General features: G+C 58.2%; 1 long non-coding RNA gene across 1 annotated transcript, besides 6 other annotated features; it reads right to left on the bottom strand.

The window, feature by feature from the left end:
- Positions 4,044 to 4,233: a silencer, noted in NCBI's record as "silent region_3056". NCBI's record gives its function as "represses an Ori minimal core promoter by ATAC-STARR-seq in GM12878 lymphoblastoid cells {active_cell/tissue: GM12878}" and the evidence as "EXISTENCE:reporter gene assay evidence [ECO:0000049][PMID:35858748]".
- Positions 5,735 to 6,234: an enhancer, noted in NCBI's record as "H3K27ac hESC enhancer chr11:1534795-1535294 (GRCh37/hg19 assembly coordinates)". NCBI's record gives its function as "activates a minimal SCP1, AML or CMV promoter by ChIP-STARR-seq in naive and primed H9 embryonic stem cells {active_cell/tissue: H9 hESC(naive and primed)}" and the evidence as "EXISTENCE:reporter gene assay evidence [ECO:0000049][PMID:30033119]".
- Positions 6,235 to 6,736: an enhancer, noted in NCBI's record as "H3K27ac hESC enhancer chr11:1534293-1534794 (GRCh37/hg19 assembly coordinates)". NCBI's record gives its function as "activates a minimal SCP1, AML or CMV promoter by ChIP-STARR-seq in primed H9 embryonic stem cells {active_cell/tissue: H9 hESC(primed)}" and the evidence as "EXISTENCE:reporter gene assay evidence [ECO:0000049][PMID:30033119]".
- LOC124902607 (uncharacterized) lies at positions 7,156 to 8,040 on the bottom strand. Its single transcript, XR_007062546.1, has 3 exons — positions 7,954 to 8,040; positions 7,634 to 7,736; positions 7,156 to 7,245 (listed from the first exon to the last, which is right to left on the bottom strand). It is a non-coding gene; the product is annotated as an uncharacterized LOC124902607 (long non-coding RNA).
- Positions 10,203 to 11,034: an enhancer, noted in NCBI's record as "H3K27ac-H3K4me1 hESC enhancer chr11:1529995-1530826 (GRCh37/hg19 assembly coordinates)". NCBI's record gives its function as "activates a minimal SCP1, AML or CMV promoter by ChIP-STARR-seq in naive H9 embryonic stem cells {active_cell/tissue: H9 hESC(naive)}" and the evidence as "EXISTENCE:reporter gene assay evidence [ECO:0000049][PMID:30033119]".
- Positions 11,869 to 12,702: an enhancer, noted in NCBI's record as "H3K4me1 hESC enhancer chr11:1528327-1529160 (GRCh37/hg19 assembly coordinates)". NCBI's record gives its function as "activates a minimal SCP1, AML or CMV promoter by ChIP-STARR-seq in primed H9 embryonic stem cells {active_cell/tissue: H9 hESC(primed)}" and the evidence as "EXISTENCE:reporter gene assay evidence [ECO:0000049][PMID:30033119]".
- Positions 19,750 to 20,272: an enhancer, noted in NCBI's record as "H3K27ac-H3K4me1 hESC enhancer chr11:1520757-1521279 (GRCh37/hg19 assembly coordinates)". NCBI's record gives its function as "activates a minimal SCP1, AML or CMV promoter by ChIP-STARR-seq in primed H9 embryonic stem cells {active_cell/tissue: H9 hESC(primed)}" and the evidence as "EXISTENCE:reporter gene assay evidence [ECO:0000049][PMID:30033119]".

Raw genomic sequence — 20,750 nt, 5'->3', positions numbered from 1 at the left:
CTGGTGATTTCTGGACACTCTTGATTCCATCTGAGCTTCCTTTTCCAGCACAGCCTTATCCTGAACACCTGATTTTGGGGTAACTTCTTATAAAGCCCACTGTGTGTTATTGTGGACACGGTCTCCTGGTGTCCCCCCTTGTGATGACAACTAGAATGCCTCCGGGTTTCCAGCACTCGCCGTCCTCACTGGTGTAAAGCTTACCGCTCTGTTCCGTGTCCTGCATCTCTGGTCAGCACCGCAGTCTGTTTCCTGTGCTTCTGCCTGGGTGGCCAGGGGCTGCCCAGAAATGACCCAGATTCACACCCCAGCCTCCTGCTCCCCTGTAGCATGCTGGGTTTCTGTCCATGGTAGCATTTGCTGGAAACATCTGTTGTTCCTTTCCATCCTGGCCTTCGTTCCTTCACTTGCTGGCCTTCCCTGGGAGGCAGGGGCAGTGAGTTCTTGGGTTCGGAGTCCCAGGGCAGTCCTGGGGCAGGTGTCCAGTGGATGGATGTGTGCTGGGGGTGTGTGGAGGACCCTGCAGAGCATGCATCGAAGTCCCTCTGCTACACTCACTCACCCTCAAGGGGAGTCTGCTGCGTGCCGGCACCGTGCCGCTGAGAACTGGGTGCACACGGCCCCACTTGGTCCCCATTGCATCTCTGCCCCAGAATGGAGGTGCAGAGAGGCCAGGTGTGTGCCTGGCGCTGTAGGGCAATGGTTCCCCAGGTGGGGTGTGGGCACCAGCAAGGGCAGTGATAAAAGAAAAACTTAATGTAAAGGTCTTTAATTGAACAACAAACGATTCTTGGATTGACAGCCTCTTGAGCCAGAGTAGGCTCATAGACTCCAGAGCAGCCCTGTGGGGGAAGATTTATGGAAAGGGAAAGTGACCTACGGAAAACGGAAGTAAGGCATAGAAACAGCCGATTGGTTACGCTCGGCATTTGCCTTATTTGAACACAGCTCGAACAGTTACCTACATATGATTGGCCAAAACTTGGTGATTGGCACAAGTATAGGCTATGATCTGTTTACACCTGTACTTGTCATAGTTCACGATGTACAAAGAAACCTTTAGGTGGAACTTAAAATATGTAAGGAGGCAGCTGTAGGTGAAACTTAACAGTGGGTTGCTTGGGACCTTGTTAGAAATGCACGTTCTTGGGTTCTACCCGGAACCATTGCTGCAGAGACAAAGGGTGGCCCGGCTGGCTGTGCAGACGAGCCCTAGGCAGGCGGCTCCAGGGACCACGGGGGCCCAGCTCCCCGCAGGCTTGTCTGGCCCGGAGGTCCTGCTCCCCTGCTGTCACACGCGTGAAGCCGTCCCTGTGCGCAGGCCAGTCTCGCGGGGGTCACCACGGAGCGTGTGCACCACACTTTCCCCATCCCTTGATCCATCATTGGGCGTTGAGGTTTTCCCATGTCTTGACTGTTGTACCTGGCGGCTCTGCGGAGTAACCGCTGCGGACACACAGTAGGACGGGAGGGAGAAGCCATTGCGTTTCACCCTTTCATGGCCCTTCCTTTCCCCTTCCAAGTGAGCTCTTTGAGGTGAGTCATGGAGGGCAGTGTCCCTCTGCATCCTGTCTGGGGTTGTCAAATATGGCCAAGTGGGCTCCATCGGGGCAGCGGGTGGGGTGGGGGGTGTCTGTCAGAGCAGGCAGCATCTTCCTACTGTCCCCAGACCCTTGTTTCTCAGCCACCTCCTTTCTCTGTGGTTATGTGGCTAGTTAGGCCTATAGCTGTGACATCAGGCAGAGTCACAGTGGGCACAGTGCTGGCACAGGTGCTGCCGTGACCAGCCCTGGAGTTCCGACTGTCCCCCTGCTCACCGCCACACCCTGCAGGGCGCTTACCGTGACCCTGTTATGTAGGTGGCAAAATGGAGGGACAAAGTGATAGGAGCCTGCCTGAAGAACTGAGAGGTGGGAGTTGCGTCTGGCCCAGCTGTGCTCGACCCCCTTCCAGGGTGCTCTGGCCGATAACGGAGGGAATTGACAAGCCTCACTCTGGGGAGGGAGGTGGTGGAGATGGCGGCCGGGAGTCCCTGAGCAGTTGTGGTGGGGCATCGTCTGTGGAGAGATGGCAGGCGTTGGGGGCGCCTCTCAGAGGCAGACACGGTACCTGTGTCAGACATCTCTGGACACAGTGAACTGGAGGTGAGCTGTCTGGTATACCCTGAGCGTGCTGCCTGGGGGAGCCAGAGGTGGGGGTAGCGGTGACAACAGGAAGAGCTGGTGCGAGAGAGAAGGAGCTGGAAGGAGCTGTGACGGGTGGCTGCAGGGGAGGCCATGATCAGCCTCCACAGGTGCCTGCCCTGTGTTACAGGGATGGGAATTGAGGACACGGCCAGCTGAGGGTGGCCTCAGCCAGAGCTGTTTGTGGCATGGCGGAGGGTGGTGGAGAAGGAGAGGCAGGGGGTTGAACCCCCAGAAGGTGAGGGGGTGGAGCCGGCACATGAGGGTAGCGTGTACCCATTGTGGCTCTGGAGGGCCGGAGAGTGCTGCTGGCCGGGGAGGTGGGGCCGGGCAGCCTGGCCCCTGGGCACTCTCTGCCCTTTGCATCCTCTCCAGTGAGCCTGGGGTCGTCCTGGAACGGGGGCCACAGAGGCTGGGCACTGGCCCAACTGTCCTGGGGGGGCTTGTTGTGGCTCTGTGTTTTATTTTTTGGTTTATGTAATGTTTTTCTTCATCGTTGGAAGAGAGACTATAAAAGTAAAGTCACATGCTTCACCTTACAGTGGTGAAAAGTAGCACTGAAGCCTCCATCCCTCCCCACAGGGGCCTGTGTGCTAGACCGGGACATGCCTGTCTTCCTTTCTTTGTCTGAAACAAAAATGGGTTCCTCCTCTGTTCTGGATCCTGCCTAACGGCATCCCCTGCAGGCTCTGCATTTGAACGCAGCCCTGCTGCAAACAGGACTGGACTCCGATTTCTCTCTCCTTTCTGCCTGTTTGTGGCGGTCCACTCCACCCCACCGTGCAGTGCTCAAGCAGCAGGGCCCGCACTGGCTCGTCTCTCCCTTGCTTGTGTCTAAGAACGGGCACCCGTTCCCCCTCTGGCCTGATAGGTTTCACCACTGTCTAAGTGTCCCCTTCCCCTACAGGGCAGGTGCCACTCTTTCCCTGCCCCCCGCTCCATCAGTGGCATGTGGAGGTTTCACCACTGTCTAACTGTCCCCTTCCCCTACAGGGCGGGTGCCAGTCTTTCCCTGCCCCCCACTCCATCAGCGGCATGTGGTTTCACATGCATCAGGCTGCTCTGTTTATTGGTGAGGCCGAGCATATTTCGTGTCCTCATTACCAGCCGTCTCCTGTGATTTGCTTACCATGGCCTCAGGATGCCGTGCTTCTGATTCATGTGGCCACCGCTGAGCAGTGGGTGTTTTGGGTACTGCCCTGGGGCTGATAGGAGGGGGATGACAGTCAGACCTAGAGAGACCTAGAAAGCAGCCAGTACTTGGCACCTTCTGTTTGCACAGCTAGAAGATTCAGCTTCTTCATGGCCACTCGGAGCAGAGCTTGCCATAGAAGTGCCTTTTTTCTCGTCACCTTGGTTCTGTTAATTTTGAAGATGATTGCCCAAATGGTGTGTTCAGAAGCACTCGGGTCACTGCTGCCCCTGTTGGTGTGGACACTCCTTTTGGGCAGCTGGGAGGTGACTTTGCTGGTCTTGCCATGCCCAGGAGCATCCAGGGGTGTCCAGGGGCTGGTGTTGGATTCCCCGGGGAGGGCCACAATCTTCTACCTGCTCAGGACATGCTGGAGGTCAGCATTCCCATTTTATAGGTGGGAAAATGCAGAGAGGTGATGTCACTGGCCAGGGCCCTGCAGCTGGGAATTGAGCCCAGGCCGTCTGGCTGATAAGTGGCAGCCTCCTCTGCTCCAAAGCCCCTCGTGCCTCTGTGAAGGCTGTGCCTCTGAGGAAGGTCCAGGCAGATCCCCTTCTCTGCTTCCAGGAGCGCCCCTGAGGCCGGTAATTCCTGGAGGGCCAAGGAGTGCAGGTGTGGAGAATGGGCGCCAAGGACCCTGCCAGGGCTGAGGGAGAGAGAGGGGCCTCCTCTAGGACTTGGGGACTAGATGGACCACTGCCGTGGGAATGCAGTGCCGCGGAGGCCGAGCCAGTCTCCACCAGAGGGCGCTGCTGGCCACTCGGAGGGAGCCGGGCGCTGGGCAGGGACTGCCGTTGGCCCAGCCTGCTCGGTCCTGGCTGTGAGCATAGTGGTTGGGGTTTCGCTCTGGAGCCCCGACCACGTTAGTGTGACTCCCTCTGTGAGGTCTCTCGTGTTGCTGGGGGGTCGAGCCGGTGAGCACCGGGGAATGCACCAGCTACCTGGGGCAGAACAGGAATGGGGTGCCAGTGCTACGCAGCACACATGTGTGCACACGTGCCTGAGGAACTAGACATCCAGGGCTGTCCCTTTATCAGGCATGTGGTGCAGCCGCGGCGGGAGAGCTTGTGTGCTCACCTGAGTCGGCGCCGGCTGGCATCAGTGCCTTCGCCTCTGACCGTGAGCAAAGGTATTGTCTTAGTTGAACCCCTCTGTCCTGTTTACTTTAACCTCCCCACCCTAGTGCTGGAGTCTTGTGTGAGGGCCTTCTGGCACCTCCCAGGTCGAGGGCCCGGGATTGGTTCCCCTCCCGAGCTCCAAGCCCTGGAGGCAGGTAGTACCCATGCCTGGTTCCGTGCCCAGCTCATGATGGGAGCCAGTGTTTGAGTACCTTTTCTGAAGGGGGCACTGGGAGGAGGTCTGCGTTTCCCCCAGGGTCGACCTTGGTTTAAGTGTTCACTTGTCGAGGTCTCTCTGAAGGTTGTGCCCTGCTCAAGGGCTGCTGTCCACCGCTGTCCCCACTCTCACGGTACGTGGGGACCTGGAGCCGGTCACTGCCGAGATTGGGGCTCCCTGTGGCTCTCCCCGTCGGGGTGGGACTCTCCGAACCTCACGAGCTCATTCCACGGTTATTGCCATTAGACGCATGGCTGAGCTTGCATGCAGGCGTGGACTTGGGCCAGCACACTCTGTGCTGTGGCTCAGAGCTCCTGCTTGGCGGGACTCCTCATCAGTCCGCTGTGTGAAGAGAGAAGCGGTGTGGGTGTCGCTCAGCAGCTGTGGTTGGGGGCCTCTGGGAAGGACAAGCGCCGTGGCCTGCGGTGATGAAGGGCTCCGCGTCATGGTGCACTTGTGTTCCCTGGGTGCTCCCGTCCCACTAGGATGCTGAAGAGCAGAGAGACAGGGCTCTGGCTGATGAGCACCAGTGAGCCTCTGTGCTGGCCCTGCTTCTCGACCCCACTTGGATAAGCGCCCAGGGAGTTTCGGAGAGGCAGAAATCTGCAGGAGCAGAGAGTGCAGAGGAGACGAGAGCAGACACATTTTGGAAGTTGGAAAGCTGAGGGTCGGGTGGAATGAACGCAAACTCAGGAAAGCTGAAATCTGACCAGCAGGGGAAGTGTTTTCACTGAGAAACTGTGGATGGCTCCCATGGAGTCTGGGAGCCCCTTGGATGGTGGAGCTGAAGACAGCAGAGCTGGTCTGGAGGCTGGAGGTGTGTTTAGAAGCAGCTGGACACCCCATTCATGTCTGATCTGTGTCTGGAGGATTAGTCCGAGCACGTGGGATCATAGCACTGTCCGCTGAGACCCAGGCGTAGTGGAGGGCATCATCCTGCACATGAAGCCTTGACAGCTTTCCACATCCACCAGGGAGGTCCCCTTCTGCCCCTCCCACACCGGGTCCTCAGGACCCCAGCAGCTGAGGTCCACCCTCCAGCAGAGAATGGGAGTCTCCTCAGCCAAGAGAAAAAACCCTTGGGCACTGGGAGTGGGGAGGAGGGGCCACCCATGTCCCTTAGTGTTCTGAAATGTCAGTGTGTTCCCTGATGTGGCCTCTGCATTCAATGACGTGGATGCTGGGTGAGTCCCTTCAATCTGGTAAGTCGTTTCCTGTGATGCTGGAAAGGTGTTGAATACAGCCAGACTCCCCCAGCGAAGCCCCCTCCGTGCACCTAGAGCCATCAGTGAGCTTTGCAGTGCCTCCTGCCACATGTGATGTGAGGGGGCAGGGGTCACCAGATAGACCAAAGCAGATGAAAAAGCAGGAAGCCAGCCCAAACCAAAGAGTAAAGCATAGCGTTCGTGGGTCTCCTCAGAGTTGTAAAGACCACGTAGCAAGAGCAGACTTGTACAGAAAGGAGCGTCCGGTGCACAGCAAAGAGTGCCTGAGAGAGGAGGATCGGACAGCCAGTGAGGTGTGGGAGATGGTGCTGCGCGCCCTTCCCAGCAGGCCGACTGCGCAGGGCGGGTATCAGGCATGGACACCAGGAGCACAAAGGTACGGAAACCGAGCATCAGGCAGGGGTCACTGTAGCTTGGTAGGAGTTCCAGGAAGAGCAGGAAACAGAAGGGAGGAAATCACCAAAGGAACGCCACAGTTGTCCAGAAATGAATTCACAGATGAAATGGGCTCACACAGTGTCCAATGCAGTGAATGAAAAGGCGACACCAGAAGACACCAGGGATAAAGAGCATATTTTTACAACTTCCAGAGAGAAGAACAAAGCAAAACAAAACCCCTTCGTCTGTTTGTGCCGCTGAAACAATACCTGAGACTGAGTGGTTTACAGAGAACAGAGGTTTATTTCTTACAGTTTGGAGGTTTGGAATTCCAAGATGGAGGGTCCCATGTCTGGCAAGAGCCTTTGTGCAGTGTCACCTCGTGGGGAGAGGTGGAAGGGCAAGAGGTGGAACTCACAGCCCCAAGCCCTTTCAGAATCACATTAATCCATTCCTAGGGCAGAGCATCCCGCATCCCTAATCACCCCCCACCAGGCCCCACCTCCCAGCCCCACCCCTAATCACCGCCCACCAGGCCCCACCTCCCAGCCCCACCCCTAATCACCGCCCACCAGGCCCCACCTCCCAGCCCCACCCCTAATCACCCCCCACCAGGCCCCACCTCCCAGCCCCACCCCTAATCACCGCCCACCAGGCCCCACCTCCCAGCCCCACCCCTAATCACCTCCCACCAGGCCCCACCTCCCAGCCCCACCCCTAATCACCCCCCACCAGGCCCCACCTCCTAGCGCTGCAGCACTGGGTGTTCAGTTTCCAGCACATGCCTTTGGGGGACACATTCAGAGCGTAGCACCAGGTTATCTACAGTGTACTGAGAACCAGAATATGAATTCCAACCTGGAAAGTAGAAGATGGTCTTCAAAATGCAGTCAGAAAAGGATTTCCAGAGTAGACTTCAGCATCAGTTAACCTGTCAATGATGTAAGAGTAGAATGAAAATATTTTCTGATGTGTGAGTTCTGAAAGAGTTACTTCCCAAGCACCCACTTCAGGAAGTTCTGAGGAGGTCGAATGTGAGGAGAGAGGAAGGGTCTAAGGATGCGGAGAGAGTGGGCAGTGGGCAGCAGGACCACCGTGTGTGGCTGTGCCAGCAGTGGGGAGTCAGAGATGAGACTTTGCCCCTGGTCGTCAGGAACCACTTGGAGTCTGCCGGGGAGGCCCAGGGCTCTTCCCCAGCTGTGTTTCGCTGGGGGGCCACCTCTGCCACCTGTCTTGCCTCAAGCCCATCTTGGGTCTTCCACATTCTGAACAGGCTGCACCTGGCTTCAGTGTAAGCAACTAGAGTGACGGCGCCTTACCTGAGACTGGCGGAGGGGTGCCTGTTGCCTGCAGTCCTGACACACACATGTGTTCATGGTACCCGCCCATGCTTTTCATTCTTCCTTGTTCTACGTGCAGTGTCTACTTGTTAAAGACAGTTTGAGGGGAAACCATTTCCCTTTGAGGGAAAACTAGTTTACTTCTTAAAACGGAGGAAAATTCAACCCTAGCCCTGTGTTCCATCCTGAAGAAAGTTCTAATGATGGAGTGAGTTGTCCCGGCCGTGGTACCAACCACCTAGGAGCCCACCTGATGGGGGTGGCCGCCCAGCCCCCCAGCCCATCTCCACAGCCATCACCTTGTTTGTGCTTCAGCAGCTTCTGCTTGAATTGGAGAAGTGTGCGTGTGAGCAGCTGGTTTTTTTTATGATACAGGATTTTGCACACCCACGGGGGGGCCACATCCAGAAGCCCAGCAGCTTCAGACAGCCCCAGGAGGCAAGGCCGGTGACACACCAGGCTCATCCCCTGCAGTGTGAAAAGTCACGATTCCCAGTGATAGAAACATCCCAGGAGCCTCAGCCTCCTGAGTAGCTGGGACCACAGGTGCACGCCACCATGCCTGGCTAATTTTTATTTTTTTTGTGGAGATGGGGTCTCACTGTGTTGCCTTGGCTGGTCTTGACCTAGGCTCAAGAGATCCTCCTGCCTCAGCCTCCTAAAGTGCTGGGATTTCAGACGTGAGCTACCACACCTGGAAGCAGCTGTGTTGAAGGTGTTGTTTACATACGGCAGAATTCTGTGATTTCAGGCATGCAATTCAGCAAGTTTTGGTGAACCTACAGGTCTGTGTGGGCAGTGCCTGCAGCCTGTGCCATCCTCAGGAAAGCTCCTCGTCCTGCTGGAGGTTTTGCCTGTTCTAGAATGTGGGGCGGATGCTCCCCATGGCCCCGCTGTCTTCTGTGTGGCTCTCTCCATTCTAGAATGTGGGGTGGATGCTCCCTGTGGCCCCGCTATCTTCTGCGTGGTTTTCCCACTCTGGTGAGTCAGCACACTGCGTGTGGCAGTTGGTCCTCTTGGAGCTTAGTGCAGATTCGGTGACTGATGTCCCTGTTCCCCAGCAGTGAGCATCTGGGACCCAGTTTTCAGCCATCACTACCAGATTCCTTTGATTCCTCGCAGACAAGCCTCCAGGCGCGTAGTGAGGCAGGCATCATCGAGTGTGTGTTTAAGTTTTTAGGAAACTGTGAAATGTTTTCCTGTATGTACTTCTCAAAAATCTGTTAGAATGTAGATAGTGCACTTTTTTTTTTCAATTATAAAAGGAAGATTAGTGAAAATTTGGAAACTAGAATAAAATGCCTCCTCTGGGCATTTTCTTTGGAGGTCTTTTCACTTTTCCCAAAATTAAATTTTTTTTTTCTTCTGATTGTGGTGATGATGTATTTTAACATGGAAAATTCCAACAATTCGGAGAAATATAAAGAAAGTAAAATACACAGGCTTACCCCTAAAGCTCTGGAGGTGTGTACCTTCCAGCTGTCCCCCAGCAAGCCTGGCTCTGACCTTCCGGGTCCCCCGGCAAGCCTGGCTCTGACCTCCCGGGTCCCCCGGCAAGCCTGGCTCTCACCTCCCGGGTCCCCCGCAGCCCTGGCTCTCACCTCCCGGGTCCCCCCGCAGCCCTGGCTCTCACCTCCCGGGTCCCCCCGCAGCCCTGGCTCTCACCTCCCGGGTCCCCCCACAGCCCTGGCTCTGACCTCCCGGGTCCCCCGCAGCCCTGGCTCTGACCTCCCGGGTCCCCCGCAGCCCTGGCTCTGACCTCCCGGGTCCCCCGCAGCCCTGGCTCTGACCTCCCGGGTCCCCCGCAGCCCTGGCTCTGACCTCCCGGGTCCCCCCCGCAGCCCTGGCTCTGACCTCCCGGGTCCCCCCCGCAGCCCTGGCTCTGACCTCCCGGGTCCCCCTGCAGCCCTGGCTCTGACCTCCCGGGTCCCCCGCAGCCCTGGCTCTGACCTCCCGGGTCCCCCCCGCAGCCCTGGCTCTGACCTCCCGGGTCCCCCCCGCAGCCCTGGCTCTGACCTCCCGGGTCCCCCCCGCAGCCCTGGCTCTGACCTCCCGGGTCCCCGCCGCAGCCCTGGCTCTGACCTCCCGGGTCCCCCCCGCAGCCCTGGCTCTCACCTCCCGGGTGCCTCGCAGCCCTGGCGCTGACCTCCAGGTCCCTGCCCACTGGGCTCTTCTCCCTCTTTGATGACTGCATAGCAGGACTTGCTAAGGAGACCCTGCGAGTGTTAGGCAGTTTCCAGCATTTTCTTTTATGAGCAATGCTTCATTCAGGTTTATTATTCATAGTCATTCCGAGTTTGAATACTTGAGATAAATTCCCATTTTACATTCTCAATGTTCTGAGGAGCTTCTCGGCTGGGGGTGCCTGGCACTGGCTGTCATTGGAAGGTCTTGTCTTCAGTTGCTTCTAAATTAGGCAAGTTGATCTTCTTATGTTTATTAACCATTTGTAGTTATTTTCTGCCTGTGAATGGTTTTTTCTTTGCCCCTTTTTTTGGGGAGGGGTGATGGTCATTTTGTTCTTATTGGTTTGCACACATTCTTATTTGTATATGAGCAGCTCACTCACTCAAACGCTTTCAGGTTCCAGCTGCCAGCACTGCCCCTGTTCTCAGCTCCCAGGACAGAGCAGAAAATCACTGCTGCACTCCTGCTTCCGCTCCTGTTGGACTGTTAGGACCCAGCAGGACACAGAGCGGATGGCATCTCTGGTTGAGGTGGAAGCTGGGGTCTCCTAGATGACATTGGGCAAAGGCTGGCAGTAATGATGTTGGGGGTGGGAGGAACAGTCTGGAGGCTCCTGGGGCTGAGGACTCCGGGGTAAGGCTGGCCTCAGGGGGCACGTGCATGACCCTGAGAGGGAGAGGCAGGCCCTGGTGACTTGGGTTTGAGGAGGATTCTCTGGCTGAGGCCCGAGGCTGGGTCAGGGTTGGCTGGGTGGCCAGTGCAGAGGCTGCGTGGAACTCACTGTGCATGAGGGACCAGGCTGCCAGGCCAGGCCTCGCCCTGTGTGGGGACAGCTGTTGGCACCCCTCTGCTCCCAAGGGCACCCTGTGCTGTGTCTCCTCCCTGCGCAGCCTCAGCCACGGACCCCACTTGAGGAATCTGAAGTGTGGGCCGTGGCGCCTCCCGCTGTAGTTTCTCCTCTTGCCTTGGAATGTGGGGTTCTCCCGCATGTGACGCATTTTCTCCAGTTTCACAGACAAAAACAGCGTTTCCTATTAGAGGGGAATGTGCCCCTGCAGGAGCAGCCCCTGCCCGCCCGGTGTCCTTTTCCCCTGGGAGTGGGCTTCCGGGTCTTCAGTTGCCTTCCTCCCAGCCTTCTGGAGTCCACCCTGTTACCCGCTTTACCAGACACCTCGGGCCAGAGCCCTGTCCCAGGCGCACCCCACACCAGCGTCCACAGCAGGACAGGGAGGATGGTGTTTGTTCGAACTGTCACCTCAAGGGGGTCTGTGCAGTGACGTTTGACCACACCCTTTGCAGTGTAGCTGGTGTGTGCCCAGGAAGCTGCCCTGCCCACCCAGAGCTGCCTGCGTGCACATCAGGAGTGCCCGTTCTCCCGCAGGCCTATGGCGGGTGGCTTTGCTGAGGGCTGTGAGGGGGAGGGCAGGGCACCAGTCACCTCCATGCATATCTCGGGGTTGTGTCCGTCTCTGGGGACCCCCACCCACCGTTCCAGAGCGCAGAGGGGCGGGCAGGGCACAGTCACCTCCATGCGTCTCTCGGGGTTGGGTCCGTCTCTGGAGGCGCCCCCCCCCCCCCCGCACTGTTCCAGAGCGCAGGGGGGAGGGCAGGGCACCAGTCACCTCCATGCGTCTCTCGGGGTTGTGCCCTTCTCTGGACCGCCCCACCCCATTCCAGAGCGCCAGGGCACGTTTCCATTTCTCTCTGGCATTTTTCTAAGGAAAAGCTGTTTCTCGACTGATCTCAATATTTTTTGGGGAAAAAAATACTGACAAAAACATTGATTTCCAGTTTTTCTGTTTGAGCCCCTGCAGGCCAGGTGGCCATGGCAGCACCCGGGGTCAGGCCCGTGACCAAGAGGGTCCCCACAGCCAGGCGTCCTCAGGAGCCGGCGAGTGGGCGCTTCGGGCTGACTTCTCGCCAGCTCCAGGGGGCCGTGGGGTGGGGGTTGTGCTCTCGCAGGCCACTCCTCCTCCCTTGTGGGGCTCCCAGCTTCCTTCCTGTGGGACTCAGGGACTCAGCCTGGACTAAATTTTGCAGCCAAGGTTTTTATACCAGCCAGAGAAGGGCAGCGTGGCCTGGCAGGGCTCCACCACCCTGTTCTTAGGCGGCCTGGGCCCTGCTGGGCTCTGTGAAGCTGGGGGTGGGGAGAGCGCAGAGTGACAGAGAGGCAGGGTCTCACCTATCCCCTGGCTTTTCTGAGCCTGTGAGCTCCTGAGGGATCGTGAGCGCTCTTGTTTGTTTTAACCATCAGTCCACGCCCCACCGCCTTGCTGTGAGCAGGTGAGTGTGGGGGCTCCTCCACTTTTTTCAGCAGCATGATAGATGGGGGCTCTTAAGTCCTACCTGCCCCCCAGCCCAGGGGTTTTCCTGGATGAGCGAAATGCAGGCATCAGGAGGGAGAGGGGTCAGAGATCCCTGGAGGCCCCTGCCCTCCCGCAGTCAGTGGTGGCTGGGGGCCGGGAGAATGACTAGGCAGGCTCCAGTAGCCACTTTAATTGTTCAGAGTTTGGCTTGACTTGAGCTTGAAATGGACAGTTTTGGAGGTGCGGTGGTGCATTACTCTGCCTTCTAAATTTATACCGAAATCTCGGCCCCCAGCCCCACCGCCGATGGCTCCAGGTGGCTCCTTCTGCATGGCCTCCACCTGGCTCTTGGCCTCCTGGCAGTCTCTGATCACCCTTACCCCAGGAGGACCCTTGACCCCCAGCCTGGCCCCCCTTGTCTTCCTTCCTGGATGTCCCCTGGCCCACGGGCTGTGCTGTGCTTGGAAGGCATACTGTCTGAGGGTACGAGCCCTGTGGCACTGCCTGGGACTTCTTTCAGGGCTACGATGGCCCTGGCTTGCTTCAGTCCTTCTCTGCATGCTGGCAGCGCCACAGCCTGTCCAGGCCCCATGGACGTTGGCACCTCCAGGTCAGCTGTGGCAGAGAGGCCCCTTGCACTAGGAGGAGAGGCTATCACTGTCTCCTACTAGGGTGGCGTGGAAGAAAGCTGTTGTGTTTCGGGTGCTTTCCTGTTTGGTGTGAGGCTTGTTGGCCAGCTTGCTAGGAGCAGGGGTGGGTTTGGGGTAGACTTGATGGCATTTTCTCCTCCTCTGCCTCCTCCTCTGCTGACTGGGCTGTGGGAACTAGGAGGGCAGTGCCCCCCTGGGAACAGGAGGTGAGCCAGGGCAGGATGGGCTTGTGCTGCGCTCTGGGCCGGGCATGTAGGAATAAGCTCTTTCCCCTTCCACATGCTGCTGTCCCCTCTTGGGGGACAGTCACGTGTGAAGGCTAGAGCCAGGCTGCCAGCACGGGGGTCAGCACAGAAATAGCCTTGGCTGCTGTGTGAGGGGAAGTGCGGGGCTTAGGGGGCCATGTTCACCCCTGCACCAGTGGCTCTCCCTGCAGAAACCTGCCCCATCTGCCCATCCCCTCCTAGTCCAGACTGCGTCTTCCTCATGGTCTGTGGTCTCCTTTTGATTTGTGTTGCCGATGGACATGTGTGTCCTGAGTGGTCTCTCCCCGACTCCAGCCGGGGTTTTACTTGCTTGGCAACTCCAGTTTTCCCTGCCTCTGATGCACAGTATGGAGGCTCCACGTGGACGTCCAAGGCTCCATGCAGTGCTCCTGACTGTCCGAAGTCATAGAGCAGCTTTTCTCAGGTGGCTCCTGAGACGTTTCTTTGTTTTTGTTTTGTTTTGTTTTGTTTTGTTTTGAGACGGCGTCTCGCTCTGTCACCCAGGCTGGAGTGCAGTGGCGCAATCTCGACTCACTGCAACCTCTGCCACCCAGGTTTAAGCAATTCTCCTGCCTCAGCCTCCCAAGTAGCTGGGACTACAGGCGCCCACCAGCACGCCCGGCTAATTTTTTGTATTTTTAGTAGAGACGGGGTTTCACCATGTTAGCCAGGATGGTCTCGATCTCCTGACCTTGTGATCCGCCCTGCTTGGCCTCCCAAAGTGCTGGGATTACAGGTGTGAGCCACCGCGCCCGGCTTTTTTTTTTAAAACCTTCTCTGCCCCTGCCGCTACAGAGGTGGTATTCCAGGACTCTAGGGAGGCTTGGAACCTCCAGTGGTACTTTTCAGTGTTTGTACAGGGTCTCTTTTCTAGATCCGAAAACGCCATCAGCGGATGCCAGGACCCTGTATGAATATCCTGTTGAGCTTGCTTCCTTATCAGTAAAATGGGCAGGGACAGGTCTCGGGGGTGCCAGTTGAGGAAGTCGAGGGGTTCTGAAGCCTGGTTATTCAGAGCTGGCTGGAGCGCTGCTCTTGGACTGGCTGTTCTCAGAATCCAGCTACTCCCTTCTTTGGGCAGGCCCTGTAAGAGCGCCCCTTCAGGTCAACCTTTAGCTTGATGTGGGCGTGGTTCCTTTCTGGGTAGTGTTGCCGATCCCTACCTCGGGGCTTACTTGCTTCAAAAGCCATTTTTGGGGGTCCTGGAACCAAGTTCAAAGGCAGTGTGTTTGGTTCCTAAAACGCACATTTGTGTTTCCTTTAACTATCATTGATTTATTTAGAGAGTCAGGGTCTCGCACTGTCACCCAGGCTGGAGTGCGGTGGCGCAACCATAGCTCCGTCGCCTTGAACTCCCGGCCCCAAGCAGTTCTCCCACCTCAGCCTCTCAAGTAGTTGGGGCCACAGGTACACCACCACGCCCAGATAATTTTGAAGATTTCTTTGAGATGGGGTGGGGGGGTCTCCTTATGTTGCCCAGGCTGGTCTCAAACTTCTGACCTCAAGTGATCCTCTCACCTAGGCCTCCCAAAGTGTTGGGCTGGGGTGGCTAAATTTGTTTTTTCTGCAACAGGACCGTGCTTTAGAGGGAGGCAGCCTTGAGTTCCAATCAAAGGCCTCCTTGGTAGCGGAGGGTCCGGTGAGGCTGTGCACGTCTGTTCAGGTCTGCCCTGCAGCGGCCTGTTGGCTGAAGTCGGGGGATGCCTGGGAAGCACACGCCAATGTCATGCGAGGCCTGGCACTTAGAAGGTTCTCTGTGAACGAGTCTCTTTCCCTTCCCTCGCGTTTTATTCCACGGTTTGCCTAGAGTCTTCTGACAAAGCCAGCCATTCGGTGTCTGTGCCTGGCGTCCGTGCCCCAGTGCGGTCCCCTTCCCCTCAGTTCACCCTCGGGTGGCTGCCGGGCTTGGTGTGTGGTCAGGAGAGCAGGTCCCCGGCCTAGCCTAGGCACTCTGTGCCGCAGATGTCTCGTGACACAGCTGCTGCGGAAGCCCTGGGGGTCTTCTGGGAGTCCCGAGAGTGCCCTGCCCTGGCTGTCTTGGACTCGCGTGAGTGCAGACACAGCGTGGGTTTCTCCCCGCTCGCTGCAGCCTCCACCTTGAGTTCTCTAGCTGGCTGAGTCTACTCTGAAGGGAGCTGTGGGGAAGAATTCACACATGGGGCTCTCCTGTCACCTGGGGTTTTTCAGTGCCCCTTGTTTAACAGTCTTAGCTTCTGGGGCAGCTGAGAGCATAGCGTGGGTGCCAGGAGCCGCCAGCCATGTGGGCTGCCCAGTGGGCAGGTGCTGTGAGCCCTTCCATGGACAAGGCCCTGGCGGCCCCAGAAAACTGCCTCCTGAGTCCAGACCTCCCTTCTTCTCGCCCTCCCAGGGCTGACATCCCCCTTGGTGCAGCTGTCATTGTGATTTTCGACCTCATGGGCCATTTCTCAGCTATAAATTGCGTAAGCTGCTGAGAAAGGGCAGCGGATGCTATCTGGAGTGCAGCTGAAGGCTGCTCCCTCCCACCTCCTTGCCCCTGCCAGTCTCCTCTCCGTTCTAGGAGCACTCTGCTCCCATCATGGGTGGGCGGGCCAGGCAGTCACCCTCTCTGCATCCCCTGGGCTCTCTGGCCTCCTTCTGCCTGGGGGCATCTCCTTTTCTGCAGGCTCTCAGCTGTGGGCTTCTGGTGACTGGAAGGCAGGAACGAGCTGCCCCAGCCAGGGCTGAGCGGGTGGCGCTTTCTCTTGGCAATCAGAAGGCTGCCGCTCATTCTGGACCTCTTCCTGAGAGTGCTCTCCCGGGCATGCGGCTTGCGAGGAGTGGCTCCCACACCCCAGCCGGGTGCGCCCTTGGCCAGCGCCTGCCAGCCACCTCTGTCACTTCCAGTGAAGTCCAGGAGCCCACAGGGCCAGCGGGTGCCATGTGACCTTGGAGACCAAGGGCCCCTCACCAGACTCTCCCATGTGCTCTGGAGAGCGTGCTGGCCATGCTCACTCGTGACAGGCACTGAGAAGCCGCTTTGCCATTGTCTGTGCTTTCCTGACAAGTGGATCTTGCCCCAGGAACCCGATCCAATTGTGAAGTTGCCCCAGATGTGGCCGTTTGTAGACATCAATGTATGAGAGTGTGTGGGGGACACCTGTGCCCACGCAGGGGCCCTGCTTTGGGGTGCCCGCTGTTCTGGGGACCCACGGTAGTAGCTGTGCAGTGCGGCAGCCGGCTCTGTGGGCTCCTGTGGCCTCTGTGGTCTTGGCCATCTGCCCTTGTGTCCGGCACTACAGACCATGTGTGCGGTCACCTGGACAGGGCCCAGTCTGGAGCCAGAGGAAGGAGCTGTTTGGGGGTGTCTCTCGGTTGACCTGGGGCTGCCTCATTTCTGTCTCCAGGGTGGGACAGGGCCTAGGTAGGGATTCCATACTTCTACATGGGGATGAGCAGTGCCACCTGAGGTGACAGTGTGCGTGGTGTGGCATCCAGGATGTCCGGGTCAGGGCCAGGGCCTGGCTCCAGCCCTGTTAGACGAGCCTCGCGCCCATGTCTGGCTGCGGCCCAGGGCTGTCTGGATCTGTCCACTTCTCCGTCTGCCTCCTCTGGGCTGCCAGCCTTCCCCTCCCCATCCCTTCTCCACAGGCTCTGCAGGCTGGGCAGCCTCAGCTTTCTGTGCCTTGGCCAGAGTCCAGAGCCGAACCTCACACACTTTCCGCACCCCGCCTCACTGTGCTTTTGGTGGGTGGATTTAAAGCCTCCTCCCCAGCTCTCTTCTGCACATGCCTCTCTCCAGCCATCCAGAGCCCTCCTCCTCTTTGTCGCCTGAGCCCCTCACCCCTGAGGCCTCCCTCATCCCACGCCCTTCCCCTTCCCTGGTCGCCTCTTCCCGCAGCCTATCGGTTTGGACATTCAAATGCTGAGACCCTGGGCTTACTGGCCACAGGTCCGGGCTGTGGTGGGCTCGCCGTGAGCAGAGGGCGTGTGACCTGAGCTCAGAGGGGAGCCTGCCCGGAGCGCCCCCGGCACGCTGTGCCTGGAGCTCCCCAGGAGCAGCACTCTGGCCTGATGGCCCCACCTGGGCTGTGGGGGAGCTGGGATGGAACCCAGGATGTCCTGTGGTGCCACATTTTCTCCCTCAGGGCGCTGGGGGCTGCCAGGGTGTCCTCGCCTGGCCGCGTGGTACTGCCTGGAGCAGGTATCCATCTGCTCATAGAAGGATCTGCAGGAGAGCAGGGTGTCAGATGCTGGCTTTTCAAAGTCAGGTGCCCAGGAGCCAGTAGGTCGTGCCTGGTGGGAGTCATGGGGGCCCAGGCCTGGGGACAAAAAGCAGGGCCGTCTCCCTACAGCACCAGGCAGGACACTGCAGTTCGAGGGCCTGTGGACCTATGAGGCCACATCTTCACCTTGGGCTGACCCCGGGGCTGACCATCAGGCCTTCCTCCCTCTGGTGGCACCTGAGGCCCCTGGCCTGGGTGGGCTGGAGGAGGACGTGGGTAATCCATGGAACAGGCCTTCCTAGCTGAGGTTTGATGGGACCCCAGCCCAGCGATGTGTGGAGCTGTGTATCTGTGCACTGGGTAGGGCTGGGGCTTCAGCGTCTGGCAGCAGGCCTGGGGGATCTCCAGAGCAGCCCCCTCATGTACAGTTGTCCGGCACCCTCATCTCTGTCCCTTAACACAATTGCAGCTAGTGATGAATGCTCAGTGTCACCGGAATCGTCCAGTGCAGGATCAGGCACGAGGAAGGCCGCAAGTATGAACAGATGGCTGGGCTGAGGGTTGACTGTAGGCACAGAGAGACGGTGGTGGTTCTGGCTGGGTGTGGAGGGGTGCAGGATTCGTCCCCTGGCCTCCCATCTCCATGGCAGGCGCAGTGGGGTTGGAGGCAAATCAAAGGAGGTAGAAGCAGATGAGAGGTAGCAGTGCAGCCACAGGAGGTGGTTGTGTGTGCAGATGTGCACTTGCGGGGTGGCGGGGCGGGAGGCAAGCCTGGAGGGACGGGAAGAGCCGCAGACCCGACGCTCACTGCCTAGCTGGCCACCCTGCCGCAGGCCCTTTTCAACTGGGCCAGATCCCACGTTCAACAGACAGGGCACGTGGTTGGCTCTCCCCCAGTCCCTTCCCTTGGCACAGGTGCCACAAGTCCCGAGGTCTGCTTCCCCCAGATGCCACCATGGCCAGTGCCGGGGCTGTGGTTCCCTTCTAGTTGAGTGCGCATTTAGTGCTGGCGTCCGCCCTAGTGTGGGTGACTGAGCCCTGGTAAGCACCGGGGCAGAGTGTTTCGTGCAGACATCACACCTGGCTGGAGAGGTTCAGCCCCCCTGAGGATCCCCTGGCACCCTGGGTGTTAGCATTGCCCTGGATGTCACTGTGCAACTGCAGGGCACGGGCATGGACTGAGAACATGGGTGAGAAGGGGAGACAGGTTTCATTCGCTTGCCCTCCACTCACCCAGCACCTCTCTGCTTTGAGAGCTGCTTTCTTGCTCTGATGCTGACTTGGCATTTCTTCCGTTCATTTAGCAAATATTGACTGCCTGCTGTCCCCCTGTTCCGGGTGCCGGGAATATAGTGGACACAAGACCCCTGCCCTCCTGTTCCGGGTGCCGGGAATATAGTGGACACAAGAGGCCTTACATTGTAACAGGAGTGCTGGACAGATGTGCCTGTCTGTCGCAGGCTGAGGAGCGCCAGGTAGGGCAGCCAGAGACGGAAGAAATGAGTGGCCGACCGGAAAATGGGATGTCTGAGGAGGAGCGCTCCAGCCACAGCAAAGGACAGGTGGCCAGCCCCGCGGTGCCAATGTGCTGGGTGCCCAGGCCACAGAGGAGACTCGAGGGACCAGAGCGAGGGGAAGTGGGGAGGGCACAAAGGCGGCGTGGGGAGCACTCAGGCTCATTCGCTGCATGGCGCAGGAGTCGTGAGGGGCTTTGAGCAGCAGGGGGTGGGATCAGAGCTGACTTGCCAGGATCACACTCCCAGTCATGTGGAGAGTGGATTGGAGGGTGGGGGCACAAGGGGGCCTGCCTGAGACCATGGTAGTGGCACAGGAGGCCCGCAGGGGTGTGTGGGTGAGGGACGTAGGGGGAAGAGACACCCCCCGGCGTGTTTTGTGGGTAGAGCCGTGAGGACCTGCTGATGGATGGATGTGGGGTCTGAGAGGGGTCCAGGGAGGACTCCCACATTCCTCTGAGGCAGTGGGAGGATGGAGCAAGTGTCTCTGGAGTTGCAGAGGACACCCGAGGAGCCAGTTCTGGAAGGAATGCCTCAAGTCTGAGATGCCCATTAGTCTAATGGGGACAATGGGCAGGCACTGGGCCAGGAGCCCAGAGAGGAGTTGCTTTTCTTTTAAACCTTTACTGCAGTCTGCTTGACATACCGTGAACCGCCTGTGTTTAAAGGGTGCAGCTTGACAAGTGTGGACATATGCATGTGTATCCCTGAAGCCACAGCCACAGCCAGGGAGAGGAACACACCCATCACCCTGGGGTTCCAGTTTACTCCTGCCTTTCTGTGACACTTCTCTCCCCCACTTCCTCGCTCCCAACCACTGACAAGCTTCTGTCATTGTGGTCACACCTTTATGTTTCCTGGAATTTCCCGTGAACGGAATCACAGTGTGAACCTGATGTTCACCTGGCCTCCGTCACTCAGCACACTTGCTGTAGGAGTCTTCCGTGTTCCGCGTGTCTCCCAGGCCACTCCTGTCTGTGGCTGAGGCGCGGTCCGTGGATGCTGAGGCCGCACTGTGTCACCTCCCCATGGTGGGTGTGCAGGTTCTCTCCTTTCTGACCAGCACACTTGCAGCTGCCGTGAACATTCGTGTGCGAGTCTCAGTAGAAATGTGTGCTTTCCATGAAGTAGCTGAGAGTGCAGTGCTCAGACCGTAGGTGGATATAGGCTTAACGCTTGTAGAAGCTGCCCAATTGCATTCTAAAGCAGTTCCAGTTCCACCATTTTGCATCCCCACCAGCAGCCTCAGGGCCCTGCTTCTCGGCACAGTGGTGGGCACGTGGCAGGCATGTGGCATGCTCATCCCATGGTCATCCCACAGGCATGTGGCATGCTCATCCGTGGTCATCCTGCAGGCACGTGGTTTGGCTGTCCCATGGTCATCCCGCAGGCATGTGGCAAGCTCATCTGTGGTCATCCCGTGGGCACGTGGCCTGGCCGTCCTGTGGTCATCCCGCAGGCATGTGGCAAGCTCATCCGTGGTCATCCCATGGGCACGTGGCCTGGCCGTCCCGTGGTCATCCCGCAGGCATGTGGCAAGCTCATCCGTGGTCATCCCGTGGGCACGTGGCCTGGCCGTCCTGTGGTCATCCTGCAGGCATGTGGCATGTTCATCCTGTGGTCATCCCACAGGCACGTGGTGTGGCCATCCCGTGGTCGTCCCGCAGGCATGTGGCATGCTCATCTGTGGTCATCCTGCAGGCACATGGCCTGGCCGTCCTGTGGTTGCAGCTATCCCTTGCGTGGCTGCAGCATCCTGTGCTCGTGTTTGGCGTTCTGCTGATGGCCAGTGATGTTGAGCATCTCTTCATGTGCTTCATTCGGCTAATCATCTCTCTTCTTTGGTGAAGTTTCTGTTCAGTCTTTTGCCCATTTTTTATTGGGTGACTTGCCTTCTTGTTATTGAGTTGTAAGAGGTCATTATCTGTTTTAGATAGAAGTCCTTTATCAGATCTGTGTGTTGAAAAAATGTTTTCCAGCCTGTGGCTT

The sequence above is a fragment of the Homo sapiens genome, chromosome 11 (assembly GCF_000001405.40).
Source record: "Homo sapiens chromosome 11, GRCh38.p14 Primary Assembly".
Taxonomy (NCBI): Eukaryota; Metazoa; Chordata; class Mammalia; order Primates; family Hominidae; genus Homo; species Homo sapiens.
This window is presented reverse-complemented; position numbering and strand designations above follow the sequence as displayed.